This window comes from Homo sapiens, chromosome 19 (assembly GCF_000001405.40).
Source record: "Homo sapiens chromosome 19, GRCh38.p14 Primary Assembly".
In the NCBI taxonomy this organism is placed as follows: Eukaryota; Metazoa; Chordata; class Mammalia; order Primates; family Hominidae; genus Homo; species Homo sapiens.
The window spans coordinates 18,383,863-18,403,795 of NC_000019.10; the positions used below are offsets into that span (position 1 = coordinate 18,383,863).

General features: G+C 52.9%; 3 protein-coding genes and 1 non-coding gene across 6 annotated transcripts in view, besides 2 other annotated features; 3 read left to right on the forward strand and 1 right to left on the reverse strand.

Annotated features, from left to right (window-relative positions):
* Positions 1,840–2,662: an enhancer, noted in NCBI's record as "H3K4me1 hESC enhancer chr19:18496512-18497334 (GRCh37/hg19 assembly coordinates)". NCBI's record gives its function as "activates a minimal SCP1, AML or CMV promoter by ChIP-STARR-seq in naive and primed H9 embryonic stem cells {active_cell/tissue: H9 hESC(naive and primed)}" and the evidence as "EXISTENCE:reporter gene assay evidence [ECO:0000049][PMID:30033119]".
* Positions 2,251–2,420: an enhancer, noted in NCBI's record as "active region_14316". NCBI's record gives its function as "activates an Ori minimal core promoter by ATAC-STARR-seq in GM12878 lymphoblastoid cells {active_cell/tissue: GM12878}" and the evidence as "EXISTENCE:reporter gene assay evidence [ECO:0000049][PMID:35858748]".
* GDF15 (growth differentiation factor 15) lies at positions 2,296–5,314 on the forward strand. The gene is made up of 2 exons (NM_004864.4): positions 2,296–2,604; positions 4,424–5,314. The coding sequence occupies exons 1-2, from the start codon at positions 2,328–2,330 to the stop codon at positions 5,071–5,073; spliced, it is 927 nt and encodes a 308-aa protein (NP_004855.2). The 5' UTR covers positions 2,296–2,327; the 3' UTR covers positions 5,074–5,314.
* On the forward strand, positions 2,700–2,772 carry MIR3189 (microRNA 3189). Its single transcript, NR_036156.1, has one exon. It is a non-coding gene; the product is annotated as a microRNA 3189 (primary transcript).
* Positions 5,315–7,274: 1,960 nt separating the features above from the next.
* On the reverse strand, positions 7,275–13,760 carry LRRC25 (leucine rich repeat containing 25). 2 transcript variants are annotated; one of them, XM_005259739.5, is made up of 3 exons: positions 13,591–13,760; positions 12,323–13,110; positions 7,275–8,263 (listed from the first exon to the last, which is right to left on the reverse strand). In XM_005259739.5, the coding sequence occupies exons 2-3, from the start codon at positions 13,099–13,101 to the stop codon at positions 8,125–8,127; spliced, it is 918 nt and encodes a 305-aa protein (XP_005259796.1). In that variant the 5' UTR covers positions 13,102–13,110; positions 13,591–13,760; the 3' UTR covers positions 7,275–8,124. The 2 variants fall into 2 exon arrangements, with proteins under 2 accessions (XP_005259796.1, NP_660299.2); NM_145256.3 differs by having other exon boundaries at positions 12,323–13,760.
* Positions 13,761–18,862: 5,102 nt separating this feature from the next.
* SSBP4 (single stranded DNA binding protein 4) overlaps positions 18,863–19,933 on the forward strand; it is a 31,838-nt gene continuing 30,767 nt past the window's right edge. Inside the window, exon 1 of one of the 2 annotated variants that reach the window (XM_047438370.1) lies at positions 18,863–18,934. In XM_047438370.1, the coding sequence (XP_047294326.1) occupies positions 18,891–18,934 (44 nt within the window). In that variant the 5' untranslated portion in view covers positions 18,863–18,890. The remainder of the gene's footprint in view (positions 18,935–19,933) is intronic. The other variant, XM_047438368.1, reaches the window with a different exon arrangement.

Genomic DNA, 19,933 nt, shown 5'->3' on the forward strand with positions numbered 1-19,933 from the left:
TAAAAACACAAAAATTAGCCAGGTGTGGTGGCGCATGACTGTAATCCCAGCTACTCAGTAGGCTGAGGCAGGAGGCGGAGGTTGCAGTGAGCCGAGATTGTGCCACTGCACTCCAACCTGGGGGACAGAGAGAAACTCCGTCTCAAAAAAAAAAAAAAAAAGAGATTTAATCCTAGGGCCACCCAATGAGGAGATAGGAGGGAACCTCAAATCCATTTCCAGGAGGAGGAGTTTGGGGCCATATAAATGTATATATACAAATATATATATTTTTTTAAGATGGAGTCAGCCGGCCGTGGTGGCTCACGCCTCTAATCCCAGTACTTTGGGAGGCCGAGGCCAGCGGATCACAAGGTCAGGAGATTGAGACCATCCTAGCTAACACGGTGAAACCCCATCTCTACTAAAAATACAAAAAAAAATTAGCCAGGCGTGGTGGGGGGTGCTCATAGTCCCAGCTACTCAGGAGGCTGAGGCAGGAGAATAGCATGAACCTGGGAGCTGGAGCTTGCAGGTTGGAGTGCAATGGCATGATCTCAGCTCACTGCAACCTCCGCCTCCTGGGTTCAAGCGATTCTCCTGCCTCAGGCTCCCGAGCAGCTGGGATTACAGGCATGTGCCACCACGACCGGTTAATTTCTGAAATTTTTTAGTAGAGACAGGGTTTCATCATGTTGGTCAGGCTGGTCTCGAACTCCTGACCTCAGGTGATCCGCCCGCCTTGGCCTCCCAAAGTGCTGGGATTACAGGCGTGAGCCACTGCACCTGGCCAGGGGCTAGAGTTTTAATTTTTAAGGATTTTGGAGTGGGCTGAAGTGTGGAGGTCATTGCTTGGTGAAAGAGTGCAGGAGGTGAAGTCACAGACAGTAAGAAACTGTATTCTCATGCAGATTCCGTTCCTCTGTGGGGTCTTCACACTGGTGGGTGTCATTGGTTAAGGATTTCAAAAACATCTTAAGAAATTCTTCTAAAAAGTCTTATGATTCTAAGGTCGGAAATCACATCTATAGCAAATGGTCGGTATCAGGTGCTACAAGCAACTTGCGGTCACAAGGAAGTGGGTCAAAGTGCAGCCTGATTAGTGCTTAATTATAACTAAGTTTCTGTCCAGAATTCTTTTTTTTTGAGACAGAGTTTTGCTCTTGTTGATCAGGCGGAAGTGCAATGGTGAAAACTTGGCTCACTGCAACCTCCGCCCTCTGGGTTCAAGCGATTCTCTTGCTTCAGCCTCTCGAGTAGCTGGGATTACAGGCATGTAATCCCACCACCAAGCCCAGCTAATTTTGTATATTTAGTAGAGACAGGGTTTCTCCATGTTGGTCAGGCTAGTCTAGAACTCTTGACGTCAGATGATCCACGTGCCTCGGCCTCCCAAAGTGCTGGGATTACAGGCGAGAGCCACCGTGCCCGGCGCAGAATTCTTTTTTTTAGAGATGAGGTATTGCCATCTTGCCCAGACTTGTCTCGAACTCCTGGGCTCAAACAATCCACCCACCTCGGCCTCCCAAAGTGCTGAGATTACTGACATAAGCCACCATGCCTGGCCCCCAGAATTATGAATCCTGTGAGGATGGCTTCAAGGTGAGCGCTGAGCCAGACAAAAGGATGGGGTTTGGGAGCACCCTGCTTAGACTGGAAAGATAATGTTGGAGAAGACTTCCTGGAAGAGGGGCTTTTTGCGTAGAGTTTTGAAGAATGAGTAGGAGTTCTCCAGAGGAGGATGAGTAACTGCAATAACACCCAGTTTATCAAGTGCCTCCTATGTGTCTGGCCCTGTGCTTTACCCCTCATTTGACCACCTCTCCAGTGAGAGTCTCAGTCCTTTTTTTCCTGGTGAGGAAACAGGCATGGCAGAGAGGCATGACACATCAAGGTTGCCCTTCCTGGCTCCATCTAGCCCGTTCTCCTCTGCTTCCTTTGTTTTTCACCATCTTTAGCCTTTGACCCCAACCAAAAAGAGAAGAGAGGAAATCCCATGGGCATAGACAGCCACCTCTTAAACTCTTGTCTGGAATTTTTCACATAGTAACAATGTCTTTTTTTCCTCCAAAAAGACTCCCAGGCTGGAATGGTGTCCTCATATCGAGGAAGAGGATACTGAGGCCCAGAAATGTGCCCTAGCTTTACTAGGAGCGCCCCCACCTAAAGATCCTCCCCCTAAATACACCCCCAGACCCCGCCCAGCTGTGGTCATTGGAGTGTTTACTCTGCAGGCAGGGGGAGGAGGGCGGGACTGAGCAGGCGGAGACGGACAAAGTCCGGGGACTATAAAGGCCGGTCCGGCAGCATCTGGTCAGTCCCAGCTCAGAGCCGCAACCTGCACAGCCATGCCCGGGCAAGAACTCAGGACGGTGAATGGCTCTCAGATGCTCCTGGTGTTGCTGGTGCTCTCGTGGCTGCCGCATGGGGGCGCCCTGTCTCTGGCCGAGGCGAGCCGCGCAAGTTTCCCGGGACCCTCAGAGTTGCACTCCGAAGACTCCAGATTCCGAGAGTTGCGGAAACGCTACGAGGACCTGCTAACCAGGCTGCGGGCCAACCAGAGCTGGGAAGATTCGAACACCGACCTCGTCCCGGCCCCTGCAGTCCGGATACTCACGCCAGAAGGTAAGTGAAATCTTAGAGATCCCCTCCCACCCCCCAAGCAGCCCCCATATCTAATCAGGGATTCCTCATCTTGAAAAGCCCAGACCTACCTTTGAGCCTCAGTTGCCCCATCTGTGCCCTGGGTAGGAATATCCTGGATCCCCTTGGGTCTGATGGGGTAGCCGATGCCTGATTTGCACCCACAACGTGGGAGGTTATAACCTGTCCCCAAGTTGCAAATGGGGAAACTGAGGTACAGGGATGCCAGGGACCCTCCTGAATGTGCACAGCACCTGGGAAACCCGGGGACGGGGTCGGGCGTGCGGTGTGGGCATGGTCCCTGACCTGGGCTGGGGCCAGGATCCAAGAGAAACAATGGGGGTGTGGTGCATGGATAGAAGTTTGTGATGGGCAGAGCCAGCTGGAGCTGGTTCTGAATCTGATGAAATCGCTTGTCAAGGCACTGCTAAAGTCACATGCAACGAGCGACTTGTTAGGGGAGGAGGAGAGTATTTTCCCCATCTCTGTGCCCTCCATGGAGGCTCCAGGGGTGCAGGGCACTGGATGAGGTCTGGGCTGTGGTGGGACCCAGGAGGGGGCAGGCAGAGGGGCACACTCTTAGCCCGCCCTAAACCCATCTGTGCCGTGTGACTCCGGCAAACCTCTCACCCTTGCTAAGCCTAGCAACTAGGTTAAGGCACCCTCAAACCCCAGTCTCCCCAGTCTCCCTAACACTTGTACCAGCCTGAGGGGCTGTGATTCCTAGAGGCTCAGTAGTCTGGAATGTGATGGGTTTGGCACTCTTCATTTCTCGGGATTACACCTGTAATCCCAGCACTTTAGGAGGCCAAGGTGGGAGCATCGCTTTAGGCCAGAACATTGCAGCCTGGGCAGTATAGCGAGAATCCATCTCTACCAAAAATGTTTAAAAAAAATTAGCCAGACATGATGGTGTGTGCCTGTAGTCTCAGTTATTCAGGAGGCTGAGGCGGGAGGAGCACTTGAATCCAGGAGATTGAGGCTGCACTGAGCCATGAGTGCCCCACTGCACTCCAGCCTGGGTAACAGCAAGACCATAATAAATAAATAAATAAGTGAAGCAAGTAAGTTTTTGACTGCCAGAAGAAAAGCAGAGCCATGGTTGGAATCTCAGGCTGCCTGAATATCAGATATACATTAATTCCTTCAAGTATTTACTAAGCACCTATTGTGTGCCAGGCACAGTGTCAACCAAGCTAAGATTCTAAGTAGGGAATATGAATGATACACAAGGAAATAAAATAGGGTGCTTCCTATTTTAGGCAGGCTGGAAGGAAGAGGAGGAGCCAGCCATACTGAGATTCAGGAGATTCAAGGGGAGAAATGCCCTTTTTTTTTTTTTTTTTTTTTTTTTTGAGAGGGAGTCTTCCTCTGTTGCCCAGGCTGGAGTGCAGTGGCACGATCTTGGCTCACTGCAACCTCCACCGCCCCGATTCAAGCCATTCTTCTGCCTCAGCCTCCCGAGTAGCTGGGATCACAGGCGCCAGCCACCATGCCCAGCTAATTTTTGGTATTTTTAGTAGAAGCGGGCGTTTCACCATATTGGCCACATATCGGCCAGGCTGGTCTTGAACTCCTGACCTCAAGTGATCCACCTGCATCGGCCTCCCAAAGTGCTGGGATTACAGGCGTGAGCCACCGCGCCCGCACGGAGAAATGCTCTTGGTAGGGGAAATAACTTGTGCAAAGGCGCCGCCGCCGTGGTGAGATCCAGCTTGGCGTGTTAGGGGAAATGGGCACCCTCGTTCCTGGAAAACGGTAGGCCTGTGGGTGACCAGCTTCCCTATCTGTCTTCCCACAGTGCGGCTGGGATCCGGCGGCCACCTGCACCTGCGTATCTCTCGGGCCGCCCTTCCCGAGGGGCTCCCCGAGGCCTCCCGCCTTCACCGGGCTCTGTTCCGGCTGTCCCCGACGGCGTCAAGGTCGTGGGACGTGACACGACCGCTGCGGCGTCAGCTCAGCCTTGCAAGACCCCAGGCGCCCGCGCTGCACCTGCGACTGTCGCCGCCGCCGTCGCAGTCGGACCAACTGCTGGCAGAATCTTCGTCCGCACGGCCCCAGCTGGAGTTGCACTTGCGGCCGCAAGCCGCCAGGGGGCGCCGCAGAGCGCGTGCGCGCAACGGGGACCACTGTCCGCTCGGGCCCGGGCGTTGCTGCCGTCTGCACACGGTCCGCGCGTCGCTGGAAGACCTGGGCTGGGCCGATTGGGTGCTGTCGCCACGGGAGGTGCAAGTGACCATGTGCATCGGCGCGTGCCCGAGCCAGTTCCGGGCGGCAAACATGCACGCGCAGATCAAGACGAGCCTGCACCGCCTGAAGCCCGACACGGTGCCAGCGCCCTGCTGCGTGCCCGCCAGCTACAATCCCATGGTGCTCATTCAAAAGACCGACACCGGGGTGTCGCTCCAGACCTATGATGACTTGTTAGCCAAAGACTGCCACTGCATATGAGCAGTCCTGGTCCTTCCACTGTGCACCTGCGCGGAGGACGCGACCTCAGTTGTCCTGCCCTGTGGAATGGGCTCAAGGTTCCTGAGACACCCGATTCCTGCCCAAACAGCTGTATTTATATAAGTCTGTTATTTATTATTAATTTATTGGGGTGACCTTCTTGGGGACTCGGGGGCTGGTCTGATGGAACTGTGTATTTATTTAAAACTCTGGTGATAAAAATAAAGCTGTCTGAACTGTTCCCTGTGGTGTCCAGGATAAGGGAAGGTGACCTTGAGAAGATCCTCCTCTCCCTGACCTCAGTTTCTCTAGGAGACCTGGGAGGGGGTAAGTGGAAAGGCTCAAGGAATGAGTGGCAAGGTGTTCTCGGAGATGCCAAGCCATTGGAAGGTGCTTACGACACCTGTGGGCTCTAAGGGCAGCCTTGGCCATTCCTGACTCCCTGACTCTCTGTCTCTATTTCTCTATCTCCTTATTGCTGTTTCTTTTTTCTTTTTATTTTTTTTAGACGGGGTCTCACTCTGTTGCCCAGGCCGAAGTGCAGTGGCACAATCACAGCTCACTGCAGCCTCAACCACCCGGGCTCAATCGATCCTCCCACCTCAGCCACCTGAGTAGCTGGGACTACAAGTGCATGCCATCATGCCCAACTAACTTTTGTATTTTTTGTAGAGGCTGAGTTTCGCCATGTTGCCCAGGCTGGTGTTTCTGTTTTGGAAACAGCTGAGACCCCATACCTTTTTAAGTCTCAGCTTCCCTCCATCTTTCCTCATTCCTCAAAACTTCTCTCTTTGGGGTCTGAGGCAGAGGATCTGTCTCTGTCTTTGTCTCTATCACCATCCTGTTGCTCTCCCCACTTGGGAGTCACCTTTCCAAACACAGGCAGCTCAGAGCCAAGTCTATCTGCAACCAAGTGCCTTGTTTTGTGGTACTGTCCCCAACCTGAGGGGTTAGTCCCATCACCCCTCCTGTTTGTGGCACTTCCATGTTAGTGACACCTCATTCTTTCACATATAAAGAGTAGGGAGAAACAAATAAGTTGTGAAGAATATTTTCATGCACACCACATCTCCCAGGTTATATATACTTCCTGTTTAGGATGTTGGAATTTTGAGGTGTGCTGAGTCCAGCCCCCTCTCCACACCAAACTGCCTGCCCATCCTGAATCTCTGAGAGGAATGGCGATGGGTGTCTTGAGGGACAGAGTACCCACTTCCAGCAGTGAGGTGTATCTGCTGGGAATGCCATCACCCACAGGCCAACCTGAATGACTGCAGGTTCCCCTTAACGTATTCAGTGAGTGCCCACTTTATGCCAGGCCCCGGACACAGCTGTAAAAAGACACACAAGGACCACCCCACTTTGCGGAGCCTGGTTGAGTGAAGGGGACAAATGAGTAAATCCTAAGAAAGTAGTTGATTGCAGTAAGATTTGTGCTGGGGATTCAACCCATCAGTTCATTAGTGAACGGAGGCAGAGGTGATCTAGATAGTTGGATGGGGAGGCCTCCCTGGGGAGGGAGGTCACATTTGAGCTGAGACCTGGAGGAAGAAAAGGAGTCGGGGAGGGGGTAGTTGAGGGTGGACATTGCAAGTAAATGCAAACAGCAAGTGCAAAGGCCCTGAGATGGGAGCAGGCTCACTTCAGTCACAGCAAAGCTGTTGAAAATGGGCACCTAGGAGGCTTCAAAATTAAACTCAATACCAAAAGGCAGCAGATGGTGTCACTGAGTCTTTCCCCAAACAACAGCTGTTGCCTTTGCAAGGTATAGGGCTGGGCCTGTGCCTTCTCTGTGCTTCTCCAGGCTCTTGCACAAGTTGGTCCACCCAGCCAGCATGCCCTTTCCTCTCCAATTCTCAAACTCCTATGCATCCTTCAAAACCCACTGCAGATTCCCCTCTTACATGCAGCCTTATTCAAACTCATTCAATTGTCTCCATGTGGGGACTGTGCTCCCATTCTTCCCTTTGGCCCAGGCTTGATCTCCCAGGACTGAGGGTACTTGTCTCTAGTTCTATCTCCCCCAGGTTGGAGGATTGGGCTGGGACCAGCTGATAGGAAACCCAGTTGAGGCATGAGCCTGAAAAAACTCTTGAAATACAGACATCTGTGAGTCATTAACTCTGCCTGAGAAGAAACCAGGGACAGCTTCTCAAAGGAGGTGGCATTGCACCAGGGTCTTGAAAGATTTTCTCAGAATATTAGAGCTAAAGGAATATATACATTTTTTTATTTTGGGGTTGGTGTGGGCTGCTCTGGAGGCCAAGCCTGGAGATCAGGGACCTGGGAAGGGGCCCTGAGAGGGGCAGAAGGGAGGAATGTGCCTGGGCGCAGTGGCCACGCCTGTAATCCCAGCACTTCAGGAGGCCGAGGCGGGCAGATCGCTTGAGGTCAGGAGTTCGAGACCAGCCTGGCCAACATGGCGAAACCCCATCTCTATTATAAATACAAAAATTAGCTCGGCATGGTGGCGGGTGCTGTAATCCCAGCTACTCAGGAGGCTGAGGCAGGAGAATCACTTGAACCCAGGAGGCGGAGGTTGCAGTGAGCTGAGACCGCAGCATTGCACTCCAGCCTGGGTGACAGAGTGACACTCAGTTTCAAAAACAAACAAACAAACAACAACAACAAAAAAAAACAGGGATGGGAGGTGGGGAGCAATTTGGGAGTCTCAGATGGAGACTTGGTCTTAGAACTCAGAAATCCCCACCTTGAGGAACCCACGCACCCTGAGCCAGCAGCCTCATCAGCCTCGAAGCATTTATTGAGCACTGCCTGTACATCCACAGGAGGGTGATGACAGGATTGGCACAGTGACCGTCCTGTCCCCTTGTTGGGGGTCTCTCCTCTTCCCCCTCTAGGAGCTGAGGGAGCTGAGGAGCGGCATGAGGGACAGGGAGGGGGCGGCAGAGCTTCCTGGGGCCTCAAGGACAATCCTTTCCTGTACCCATTCTTCAGATGGGGAAACTGAGGCCATGGAGGCGTTAGGACGCCCTGAGTCACCCAGCAGGGACTGAAGGGGTTCTGGGTGGAGGTTAGGACATCTTAGGCTCAGTGCCCGGGGATCACGTACTCCTCTTCATCCATTGGGGCCTGGCCCAGTGACTGCAGGTTACAGTAGACAGGCTGGGAAGCCAGGTCGATGTCCTTGTAGTTGATGTAAAAGTCATTGTCCTCTGAAGGGTGAGCCCTGGGGGGACAGACAGACCAGGGGTAAGTGTGGGAGGGGGAGGACTCAGGGGACAGGCACATGAGCTTTGAGAAAGTCCAGAGTGGGCCAGGTGCTCTGACTCACGCCTGTAATCCAGCACTTTGGGAGGCTGAGGTGGGTGGATCACCTGAGATCATGAGTTCAAGACCAGCCTGGACAACATGATGAAACCTCGTCTCTACTAAAAATACAAAAATTATCCAGGCATGGTGGCACAGGCCTGTAGTCCCAGCTACTCGGGAGTCTGAGGCAGGAGAATCACTTGAACCCAGGAGGTAGAGGTTGTAGTGAGCCGAGATCGTGCCATTGCACTTCAGCCTGGGAGACAGAGCAAGACTCTATCTCAGAAGGAAAAAAAAAAAGAAAGCTTCAGAGTGGCTCAGTCCACCCCGAATATTTACATATGGGGAAACTGGCACGGGCTAGCGTTCTGACTCCTAGCCAACCCCACCTCTCTCTGAGGAGGCTGCGGGAGGGCAGTGATTTAGGGAAGGTTCTGTGGGTGTAACGCTGCGGTCTGAGGACCCTGAACCCTTTTTCCTTCCTTAAAAATGAGATAGCGGCCAGGCGCGGTGACTCATGCCTGTAATCCCAGCACTTTGGGAGGCCAAGGCAGAAGGTCTGCTTGAGGCCAGGAGTTTGAGACCATCCTGAGCAACAGGGTGAGACCCCATCTCTACAAAAAATTAAAAAATTATTCAGGCGTGGTGACGTGTGCCTGGAGTCCCATCTCCTCGGGAGGCTGAGGTGGGAGGACCGCTTGAGCCCAGGAGGTCGAGCCTACAGTGAGCCGTTATCACACCACTGCACTGCAGCCTGGATGACAGAGGGAGACCCCGTCTCAAAAAAAACAGAAATTGAGGTAGCTGTTCATTATTACATTAAAATCTAAATTTTTGTTTCCTCTTGAAAAATCGGAAGCTCTGGCCACGTCAGTCACATGCACACAAGTGGCTGCACCCACACTCTGTGCTCCTTCCGATGGGAAATGTTTTCACCACTGAAGCAACTGACTTTGTGGCCCTCATATATAAAAGCAAGTCTCTGAGCCTCAGTTTCTGCATCTATAGAATTGGTCAAGGAGCAGGTAGCTACTTAGGAATATTTGTTATGGTCAGCAAGACCTCCAGAGAATTTTCCTGCCTCCTGAACATTCTAATTCCAACCCAGCTCCTCTTGTAAAAAGGGCCACTGGGCCAGGTGCGGTGGCTCACGCCTATAATCCCAGCACTTTGAGAGGCCAAGGTGGGCAGATCACCTGAGGTCAGGAGTTCAAGACCAGCCTGGCCAACATGGCAAAACCCCGTCTCTACTAAAATTAGCCGGGTGTGATGGTGGGCGCCTGTAATCCCAGCTACTCGGGAGGCTGAGGCAGGAGGCAGGAGAATCACTTGAACCCGGGAGGTGAAGGTTGCAGTGAGCCGAGATCATGCCATTGCACTCTAGCCTGGGCGACAGAGCGGGAAAAAAAAAAAGGCAAAAGGGCTACTTTGTGTTAACAGCATCTATCAGTCAATTATACTCTAGTACGAATTGCCCACCAACCCCTAAGTGGTTGTAGGGGGACGAACAGGTCTGGGACGCAGGGTTTGTGTCCTGCCTTTTTTGACTGGCTATGTGACCTTGGACAAGTCATTTCCCTGCCTCCCAGAGCCTCCATGTCTGTAACTGTAAGATGCAGGGTGGAAATGACACAGTCAATTCTAAACACAGTGTTTCTGGAGGCCAGTACATAAAGGAGGCTGATCCGGAAGCCTCGGGGACAGGGAGGCCAAGATGAACATCAGAGCACAAGCTGCTTTTGCGAGTCCAGTGTCTTCAACACCCTGCCTCAGACCATTTCTGCTTTTGAGCCATGTTGACATCTGCTTTGCATATTTTCTCCTTTCTCACCAACAGCCTTCCGATAGCCTCCCCACCTCCTGGCACGGACTCTGCTGCCCAAACACAGCCATGGCCGCGGCCCCTTCCTGCTTGGCCCTCCCTGTTCCCCTCAGGCCTCAGCTTTCAAGTCATCCCTTCTCAAAAACCATTCACAGCAAATTCTCTGTTCTTTCCCACCTCTGGGTCTCTGCCCCTGAGGGTCCCACCCCTTGAAATTCCCTCCATTCCCTTTTCCAACCTAGAAAAGCTTTTCTTTTCTTTTTTTCTTTCTTTCTTTCTTTTTTTTTTTTTTTGAGACGGAGTCTCGCTCTGTCGCCCAGGCTGGGGTGCAGTGGTGCGATCTGGGCTCACTGCAACCTCCACCTCCTGGGTTCAAGTGATTCTTCTTGCCTCAGCCTCCCAAGTAGCTGGGATTACAGGCACCCACGACCATGCCCGGCTAATTTTTGTATTTTTAGTAGAGACAGGGTTTCACCATATTGGCCAGGCTGGTCTCGAACTCCTGACCTCGTGATCCTCCTGCCTTGGCCTCCCAAAGTGTTGGGATTACAGGCATGAGCCACCGTGCCCGGCCTAATTTTTGTATTTTTTAGTAGAAACAGGGTTCCACCATGTTGGTCAGGCTGGTCTTGAGGTCCTGACCACAGGTGATCTGACCTCGCCTTGGCCTCGAAAAGTGCTGGGATTATAGGCATGAGCCACCGCACCCCACACCAACCTAGAAAAGTTCAACTCATTTGTCTAAGCCCAGCAAAATCATCCAGAAGCCGGTGGCGGTGGCTCACACCCATAATGCCAGCACTTTGGGAGGCTAAGACATGAGGATCACTTGAGGCCAAGAGTTTGAGACCAGCCTGAGAAATATAGCAAGACCCCCGTCTCTATGAAAAATACAAAAATTAGTTGGGTGCGGCGGCATGTGCCTGTGGTCCCAACTACTCTGGAGACTGAGGCAGGAGGATCACTTGAGGCCAGGAGCTTGAGGCTGCAGTGATCTGTGATGGTGCCACTGCACTCCAGCCAGGGCGACAGAATGACACTGTCTCAAAAAAAAATGTCGGCTGGGCGCGGTGGCTCACACCTGTAATCCCAGCACTTAAGGAGGCTGAGGTGGGCGGATCACGAGGTCAGGAGATCGAGACCATCCTGGCTAACACGGTGAAACCCCGTCTCTACTAAAAATACAAAAAATTAGCCTGGCGTGGTGGCGGGCGCCTGTAGTCCCAGCTACTCGGGAGGCTGAGGCAGGAGAATGGCATGAACCCGGGAGGCGGAGCTGGCAGTGAGCCGAGATCGTGTCACTACACTCTAGCCTGGATGACAGGGCCAGACTCCATCTCAAAAAAAAAAAAAAAAAAATCATCTAGTGGTGATGGGACTTTGTAGGGCACCTCTTTAGTATCTCATGTGTGTCATGGGGAAATGGGGGGCTGTCCCCACTCTATGGAGACAGAAATGGAGGTTCAGAGACAGCCTTGGGTCACATGGGACCTGGGCCTATGCTGCTGACCGCCACCGCGGAGCCCCAACTCCGCTCAAGCAGTTGCCTCCTGTCTCCCCATCCTTGGCCGCCAGAAACTGGGTTTACAGGTCATAAGGGGGGGAAGTTTGTCCCATATATGGGAACTCACTTAATTCTTACCCCAACACACTATGATGGGGGCTGTAATTCTCCCTCATTTTACTTTATTTTATTGATTTTATTTTTGAGATGGAGTCTCACTCTGTCACCCAGGCTGGAGTGCAATGGCATGAACTTGGCTCACTGCAACCTCTGACTCCCAGGTTCAAGAGATTCTCTTGCCTCAGCCTCCTCAGTAGCTGGAACCACAGGCGCCCGCCACCACACCTGGCTAATTTTTGTATTTTTAGTACAGACTGGGTTTCACCGTGTTGGCCAGGCTGGTCTCAAACTCCTGACTTCAAGTGATCCGCCTGCCTTGGCCTCCCAAAGTGCTAGGATTACAGGTGTGAGCCACCATGTCCAGTCCTCTCCCCATTTTATAGGTGAGGAGACTGAGGCTCAGAGAAGTAAAGCTACTCACCTAAGATCCCACAGCCTTCAAGCGGCAGAGCTGGGATTTGAACCTCGGCCATCTGGGTGTGGAGCCTTATTATTCACCACTTTGGCAGGTGTCTCAGTGGCTTACTTACCCTTGTTCATCCCACTGGTGCTCGGCTGCTGGCTGGCCCACAAACATGTTCTCATAGTCGGGAGTGGAGGGGCAGGATGGCACGGCCACTTGGGGCTTGGGGGCGCTCCGGCTGCCGTACCGTGGCTGCAAGCCTAAACCGGGCTTGGGCCCATCCTGAGCAGCCCAGGGTTTGTTCAGCTCCCGGCTTCTGGCCACTCGGCATCGCCAGAGTCTCCAGGCCAGCACAGGGCCAGCGATGGCAAGTCCAAGAAGCAGGCACCCGCTGACCACCACTGCCCCGATAGTTGCAGAGGCCAGGCCAGGGGCGCAGCTGACCTCCAGGAAGGCAGAGAGGTTGTGCTGGGAGCTGGTTGTGTCCCAGCAGAGCAGAGGCTTCTGGCCAGAGCAGTTGTCTCGGCGGATGTCGTGCCAGGACTCCAGGGCACAGTTGCAGTCGGCCTGCAGGTCAAGGTCACAGCGGGCGGCCAGCGCCCCATCCACACGAGACAAGGGGTTGCGTAGCACGTTCAGGACCTCAAGCTTCTGCAGGTGGGCAAAGAAGGTCACTGGAAGCTCTCGCAGGCCGTTCCCAGACAGGTCAAGGAGAATCACGTTGCTGGCCCGCAGAGACTGGTTGTGAGGCAGGCTCAGGCTGAGGCCACTGAAATTCAGGCACGTGGCACTGAACTCCGCGTTCCAGTCCACATCCGCGGAGGACACGGTGCACGACGGTTCTAGGCTGTCTGACTCCCGCAGCAGCAGCGGCAACAGCAGCGTCCATGCCAGGGTGCCCCCCATTCAAGCAACCTACGTAGAGACACCGGAATCCTAGCCCTGACCTCAGCCCTGTGGTCGCCCTCGCCTCCACCGCCAGTGTTTATTATTATAGCTCAGACCAGCTCAAGCCGCTTCTGAAATGGTAAAACGCAGCCCCAGTCTGGTCGCCTCCTTTGGCTGGTGGGCTGCCTCAGTCTCCCCTTCTGGGGAATGGGTAGATAACCCCAGTGCTTAGCGGGCTTGGAAGGCGAGGAGGAGATCCGGGCCAGTTAACCCCTTCTTCTATGTCCTGAACATTTGGGGCGCCCTCGTTGGCCAGGACGGGACCCTATGCAAATAAGCGGTTGCCTTGGAAACGGCCCCGCCCCCTGATCACGCTCCCGGTATCTCCCAGAACGGCGGGTCGCTGGGAAGTCCTGGGATAGGGTGGAGTGGGGGCTGCTGAAAGGGTCCTCCCAGGTCTGGTTTGCAGTCCCTGCACAGGTGCAAGTTCTAGAGCCTCAGTCCTACCTTTTGGGTCCCACTGCCACGCTTTTGCCTCTGCGATGCTGGAAAAGCGACGGCGCCCAGAGGCTGCGTCCTGGCCCACCTGGACACGGGGGCCGCAGCGGCCACGGCCAGCACCGTCCGCAGCGCTGCTGGGGTCGCTGGCGTTCCTCTGGCTCTGCACCCAGCGACTCAGGGGGAAGAGGAACTGGTGTCTGGGTGGAGTGCAGAGGGGAAGAATGAAGACAGAGATCCGCCCCCTTGCAGGGCCTCAAGGTTCTCACCAGAGGTGGATGGAGGGCAAGAGGGAGGGGTGGACCAGAGTCCCGCTTCCCTCTTGCTAGAACCCAGTGACTTCATGTCCTCTATTAGCACCCCAACCGACTGCCACCTCATCAACTCGCTTCTTGATCTCAGCTTGGCTGGTTCCCAGCTCATGCAGTCATTTATTCATTCAACAAGCATCACCCACGCTGGGCCCCCAAGAGGCCTCAGCCCTGACCAGGTCCTCAAGGAGCTATCTTAAGAGAGGACAGAGCTGGACATAGACACTCCTAGTCCCATGCAGTTAAGGAAGGTCCAGAGGGAAAGACAGGGTCCTGGAAGGCTTCCTGGAGGAGGAGGCATTACAGTTGGGGCTTCAACGCATGAGTAGGAGTTCACTAAGATTCCCCAAACCTATCATTGGCTCTCCAAGCTCCTCCAAGCCTCTCCCACTGAGTTCTTGCACAGTGGCACCTCTATGCTGGAGGGGACAGTGAGGAGGGCTCCCAGCAGCTTGGGAAAATGTAGCTGGCTGGGATAGCATGGTTAGGAGTGGAGAGGATAGAAGGAATTGGTGGTGGGGGAAGAGGTCCATGTGGAGCCAAGGCAGGTGCGTGGGCAGAGGGGCACTGGCTCAAGAAGTCCCTCTGGAGTGAGCCTGGTGTCTGGGGTGGGCAACTTGGGGAGGAGGCTGAGGTCCCAGAAGCAGATGGGGGCCTGAGGCAGACTGGAGGGGTAGTAGTGACAAAAATGATACTGAGGAGGGGTGGGCTGGGAGAAGGCCTCACCTGAACCTGGTGTCAGGTGGACCAGGTACAACCTATGCCAGCCCGACTCACTGTGCCACCTTAACTGCGTGTGACACCATGTCCACAGCTGTCAAATGCACAGAGGCTTCTCCGGGATCTGGGAGGCTGGGAGTCCACTCCCCCACGTTTTCCCCTCTTTTCGGCCTCTGTCCTTCACATCGCCAAACTCCAAGAAATGGTCAAAGGCTTTGAACGGAGACCTTGAAGAAAAAGCGGGAAACTGCTTTTCAACATGTCCAGAGATGCTCATTCTTGCCAGGTGCAGTGGCTTACACCTGTAATCCCAACACTTTGGGAGGCTGAAGTGAGCAGATCGCTTGAGCCCAGGAGTTCGAGACCAGCCTGGCCATCATGGTGAAACCCCGTCTCTACTTTAAAAAATACAAAAATTAGCCAGGTGTGGTGGTATGTGCCTGTAGTCCCAGCTACTCAGGAGGCTGAGGCAGGAGAATTGTTTGAACCCAGGAGGTGGAGGCTGCAGTGAGCCAAGATCACTCCACTGCATTCCAGCCTGGGCAACAGAGTGAGACCTGTCTCAAAAAAAAAAAAAAGTTCACACTTAATAAGAAAACTGCAAATCACAAACTGTTTGTCTTCACCAATCAAATTGGCAAAAATCCAACAATGCAATGACATTCTGTGCCAGCCAGGCTGTGGGGTGCGTCCATGGTGTAGCACTGGTGGAGGGCACCCTGGCACAGGCCACCGGAATGATAAACTCATGTGCCTGCTGACACAGCAAGTCCACTTCTGGGAATCCCTGCCTGAATATTTGCATGTTTACAGTGTGAACTGACTAACGAATAAAAAAATGTGGCTCAGCCTGGACGTGGTGGCTCATGCCTGTAATCCCAGCACTTTGGGGGACCAAGGTGGGCGGATCACGAGGTCAGGAGTACCAGACCAGCCTGGCCAACATGGTGAAACCCCGTCTCCACTAAAAATACAAAAATTAGCTGGGCATGGTGGCACGTGCCTGTAATCCCAGCTACTAGGGAGGCTGAGGCAGGAGAATCGCTTGAACCCAGGAGGCAGAGGTTGCAGTGAGCTGAGATCATGCCACTGCACTCCAGTTTGGGCGTTAGAGCGAGACTCCATCTCAATAATAATAATAATAATAATAATAATAATAATTTAAAAATTAGCTGGGCATGGTGGCTTCAGCCTGTAGTCCCAGCTACTTCAGAGGCTGAGGTGGGAGGATCCCTTGAGCCCAGAAGGTTGTGACTGCAGTGAGCCGTGATTGTGCCACTCCACTCCAGCCTATGCAGCAGAGCAAGACCCTATCTCTAAAAAATAATTTAAAATAAATGGCTGGGCCGGCCGCGGTGGCTCATGCCTGTAATCCCAGCACTTTGGGAGGCTGAGGTGGGCGGATCACCTGAGGTCCAGAGTTTGAGACTAGCCTGACCAACGTGGAGAAACTCCATCTCTACTAAATACACAAAATTAGCCGGGTGTGGTGGCGCATGCCTGTAATCCCAGCTACTTGGGAGGCTGAGGCAGGAGAATCACTTGAGCCTGGGAGGTAGAGTTTGCAGTTGAGCCGAGATCACGGCACTGCACTCCAGCCTGGGCAACAAGAGCAAAACTCCATCTCAAAATAATAATAATAAATAAATAAATTGGCTAAAATGTTCAATTTTATGTTGTGTGTATGTTGCAGGTTTGTTTTTTTGAGAAGGCAAAGTCAGGCGTGGTGGCTCACACCTGTAATCCCAGCACTTTGGGAGGCTGAGGTGGGCGGATCACAAGGTCAGGAGACTGAGACAATCCTGGCCAACGCTGTGAAACCCTGTCTCTACCAAAAATACAAAAAATTAGCTGGGCGTGGTGGCATGTACCTGTAATCCCAGCTACTCGGGAGGCTGAGGCAGGAAAATCACTTGAACCAGGGAGTTGGAGGTTGCAGTAAGCCTAGATCGCGCCACAGCACTCCAGCCTGGTGACAGAGCGAGACTTCATATAAAAAAAAAAAAGAGAGAGAGAGAGAAGGCAAAAAGATGCTCCAGGCTCAAAGTGATTCATTGCAGCATTGTTTGTTACATGAAAAAAAATAAAATGGGCCGGGCACAGTGAGTCATGCCTGTAATCCCAGCACTTTGGGAGGTCAAGATAGGAGGATCGCTTGAGCCCAGGAGTTCAAGACTAGCCTGGGCAATATGGTGAAACCCCATGTCTACCAAAAAAAAAAATTTTTATATATATATATAGATAGATATACACACACACAAAAATTAGCTGGGAGTGGTGGCACATCCTTACAGTTCCAGCTACTCGGGAACCTAAGGCAGGAGGATCGCTTGAGTCTGGAAGGCAGAGGTTGAAGTGAGCTGAAATCGTGCCACTGCACTCCAGCCTGGGGTGACAGAGTGCAGAGTGATCCTCTGCCTCAAGAAGAAGGAAAAAAAAAAAAAGGAAATAACTTAAAGGATTGGTTACATTAGTAACAGTTCAGTTCATCCATCCTAGCATGCCACAAAGTTCTGAAAATGAAATTATAAATCTCTATGAACCTATAAGGAAAGACTCATTCATTTCCTCTGTAAGCCTTTATGAAGTTCCTGTTGTATACCAGGTACTATGAACCACAGACACAGCAGTGAATAAAACAGACAAAAATCCCAGCCCCCCCTCCCCCCACCTCTCACTGTAGTTGGGGAAACAGACAACAGGCAGAATCCATCGGGAAAATATATCAAGTGCAGGTGGTGGGAATGCTGCAAAGAAAAATAAGGGCAGGAAATGAGATGGGAAACTTTTATTTATTTATTTATTTATTTATTTATTTATTTATTTATTTGAAACGGAGTTTTGCTCTTGTTGCCCAGGCTGGAGTGCAGTGATGCGATCTCGGCTCACTGCAACCTCCACCTCCCGGGTTCAAGCGATTCTCCTGCCTCAGCCTCCCAAGTAGCTGGGATTACAGGCGCATGGGACCATGCCCAGTTAACTTTTTGTATTTTTAGTAGAGACGGGGTTTCACCATGTTGGCCAGGCTGGTCCCGAATTCCTGACCTCAGGTGATCCACCCTCCTCAGCCTCCCAGAGTGTTGGGATTACAGGCGTGAGCCACTGAGCCTGGCCGCAGAAGCAACTTTTCAATGGGATGATCAAGGAACCCCTTAGGGAGTAAGGAGGAAGGGATGTGGGGAACAGCATCCAGGAGTGGGAACAGCATGTGCAAAGGCCCTGTGGTGGGAGCAGCCCTGGGTAGAGAGCAGATGTCTCCAAATGTTTGTTCAGGCTGCTATAACAAATATGCCGTAAACTGGGGTAGCTTATGAACAACAGTTCCGGAAGCTGGGAAGTCCAAGATCAAGGCACCAGCAGATTCACTTCCTAGTTTGCAGATGACCGTCTTCTCACTGTGTCCTCAGTAGACAGCAGAGGGAGCAGGGGAGCTCTTGGGGCCTCTTTTATAAGGAGCAGAGGGATGGAGGAGCCCAGCCAGCAGTGAGCCTCATGCAGCTGCACGTCCTCCACGCCCAGTTCTGAGGCCTCTTAGAAAAAAAGGAAATAAAGAAATGAGGAAGTGCCAGACCCGAGGCTGCAGGTGGTGGGGGACAGGCAGGCCTGGGGTCTGGGATAGTGAGTTTTGGAGGTGGGTCTGGGGGAGCCGGGGGCCTTGGAGTCTGAGGTCTGTGGGGTCCTGAGATTTGGGGACTCTGAGGTCTGGGGATCCAGGGGTCTGAGAGTCCTGGAATCTAAGGGTCCTGAGGTCTGGGGGTCCTAAAGTCTGAGGATCCGGAGGTTTGGGGGTCCTGGGATCTAGGGGTCTTGGGATATGGGGGTTTGGTGGGGGGGTATAGGGGTCTGGGGATCCAGATGTCTGAGAGTCTTGGGGTCTGGGGGTCCAGGGGTCTGGTGGTTCTGAAGTCTGGGGATCCAGAGGTCTGGGAGTCTTGGGATCTGGGGGTCCTGCAGTCTGGGGGCCCTGGAGTTTGGTAGTCCTGGGGTCTGGGATGTAGGGAAAAGAAAAAGCGATCAGACTGTTACTGTGTCTATGTAGAAAAGGAAGACATAAAAAACTTCATTTTGACCCATACCCTGAACAATTGCTTTGCCCTGAGATGCTGTTAATCTGTAACTTTAGCCCCAACCTCGAGCTCACAGAAATATGTGTTGTATGGAATCAAGGTTTAAGGGATCTAGGGCTGTGCAGGATGTGCTTTGCTAATAAAATGTTTGCAGGCAGTGTGCTTGGTAAAAGTCATCGCCATTCTCCATTCTCGAGTAACCAGGGGCACAATGCACTGCAGAAAGCCGCAGGGACCTCTGCTCTGGAAAGTCAGGTACTGTCCAAGATTTCTCCCCATGGGATAGTCTGAAACATGGCCTCGTGGGATGGGAAAGATCTGATCGTCCCCCCAGCCCGACACCCGTGAAGGGTCTGTGCTGAGGAGGATTAGTAAAAGAGGAAGGCCTCTTGCAGTTGAGCTAAGAGGAAGGCCTCTGTCTCCTGCCTGCCCCTGGGAACTGAATGTCTCGGTATAAAACCCGATTGTACATTTGTTCAATTCTGAGATAGGAGAAAAACCGCCCTATGGCGGGAGGCGAGACGTATTGGCAGCAATGCTGCTCTGTTACTCTTTACTCGGCTGAGATGTTTGGGTGGAGAGAAGTATAAATCTGGCCTACGTGCACATCCAGGCACAGTACCTGCTCTTGAACTTGTGACACGGATTCCTTTGCTCACATGTTTTCTTGCTGACCTCCTCCCCACTATCACCCTGCTCTCTTGATGCATTCCTCTTGCTGAGATAGTGAAAATAGTAATCAATAAATACTGAGGGAACTCAGAGACTGGTGCCAGTGCAGGTCCTTGGTATGCTGAGCGCCGGTCCCCTGGGCCCACTGTTCTTTCTCTATACTCTGTCTCTGTGTCTTATTTCTTTTCTCAGTCTCTCATTCCACCTGATGAGATATCCCACAGGTGTGGAGGGGCAGGCCACCCCTTCATGCAGGTCTTAGGATGTGAGGGTTCTGAGGTCTGTGGGTTCTGGGGTATGGGGATCCAGAGGTCTGGGAGTCTTGGGGTTTGGGAGTCCTGGGGCCTGAGGATCCTGGGGTCTGGGGATCCTGGGGACTGAGGGTCCTGGGCTCTGGGGATCCAGAGGTCTGGGAGTCTTGGGGTTTGGGAGTCCTGGGGCCTGAGGGTCCTGGGGTCTGGGGATCCAGAAGTCTGGGGGTCCTGGGGTCCTGAGGTCTGGGGGTCTTGGGGTCTGGGGGTGCTGGGGTCTAGGGATCCAGAGGTCTGGGAGTCTTGGGGTCTGGGGCCCCTGGGGTCTGGG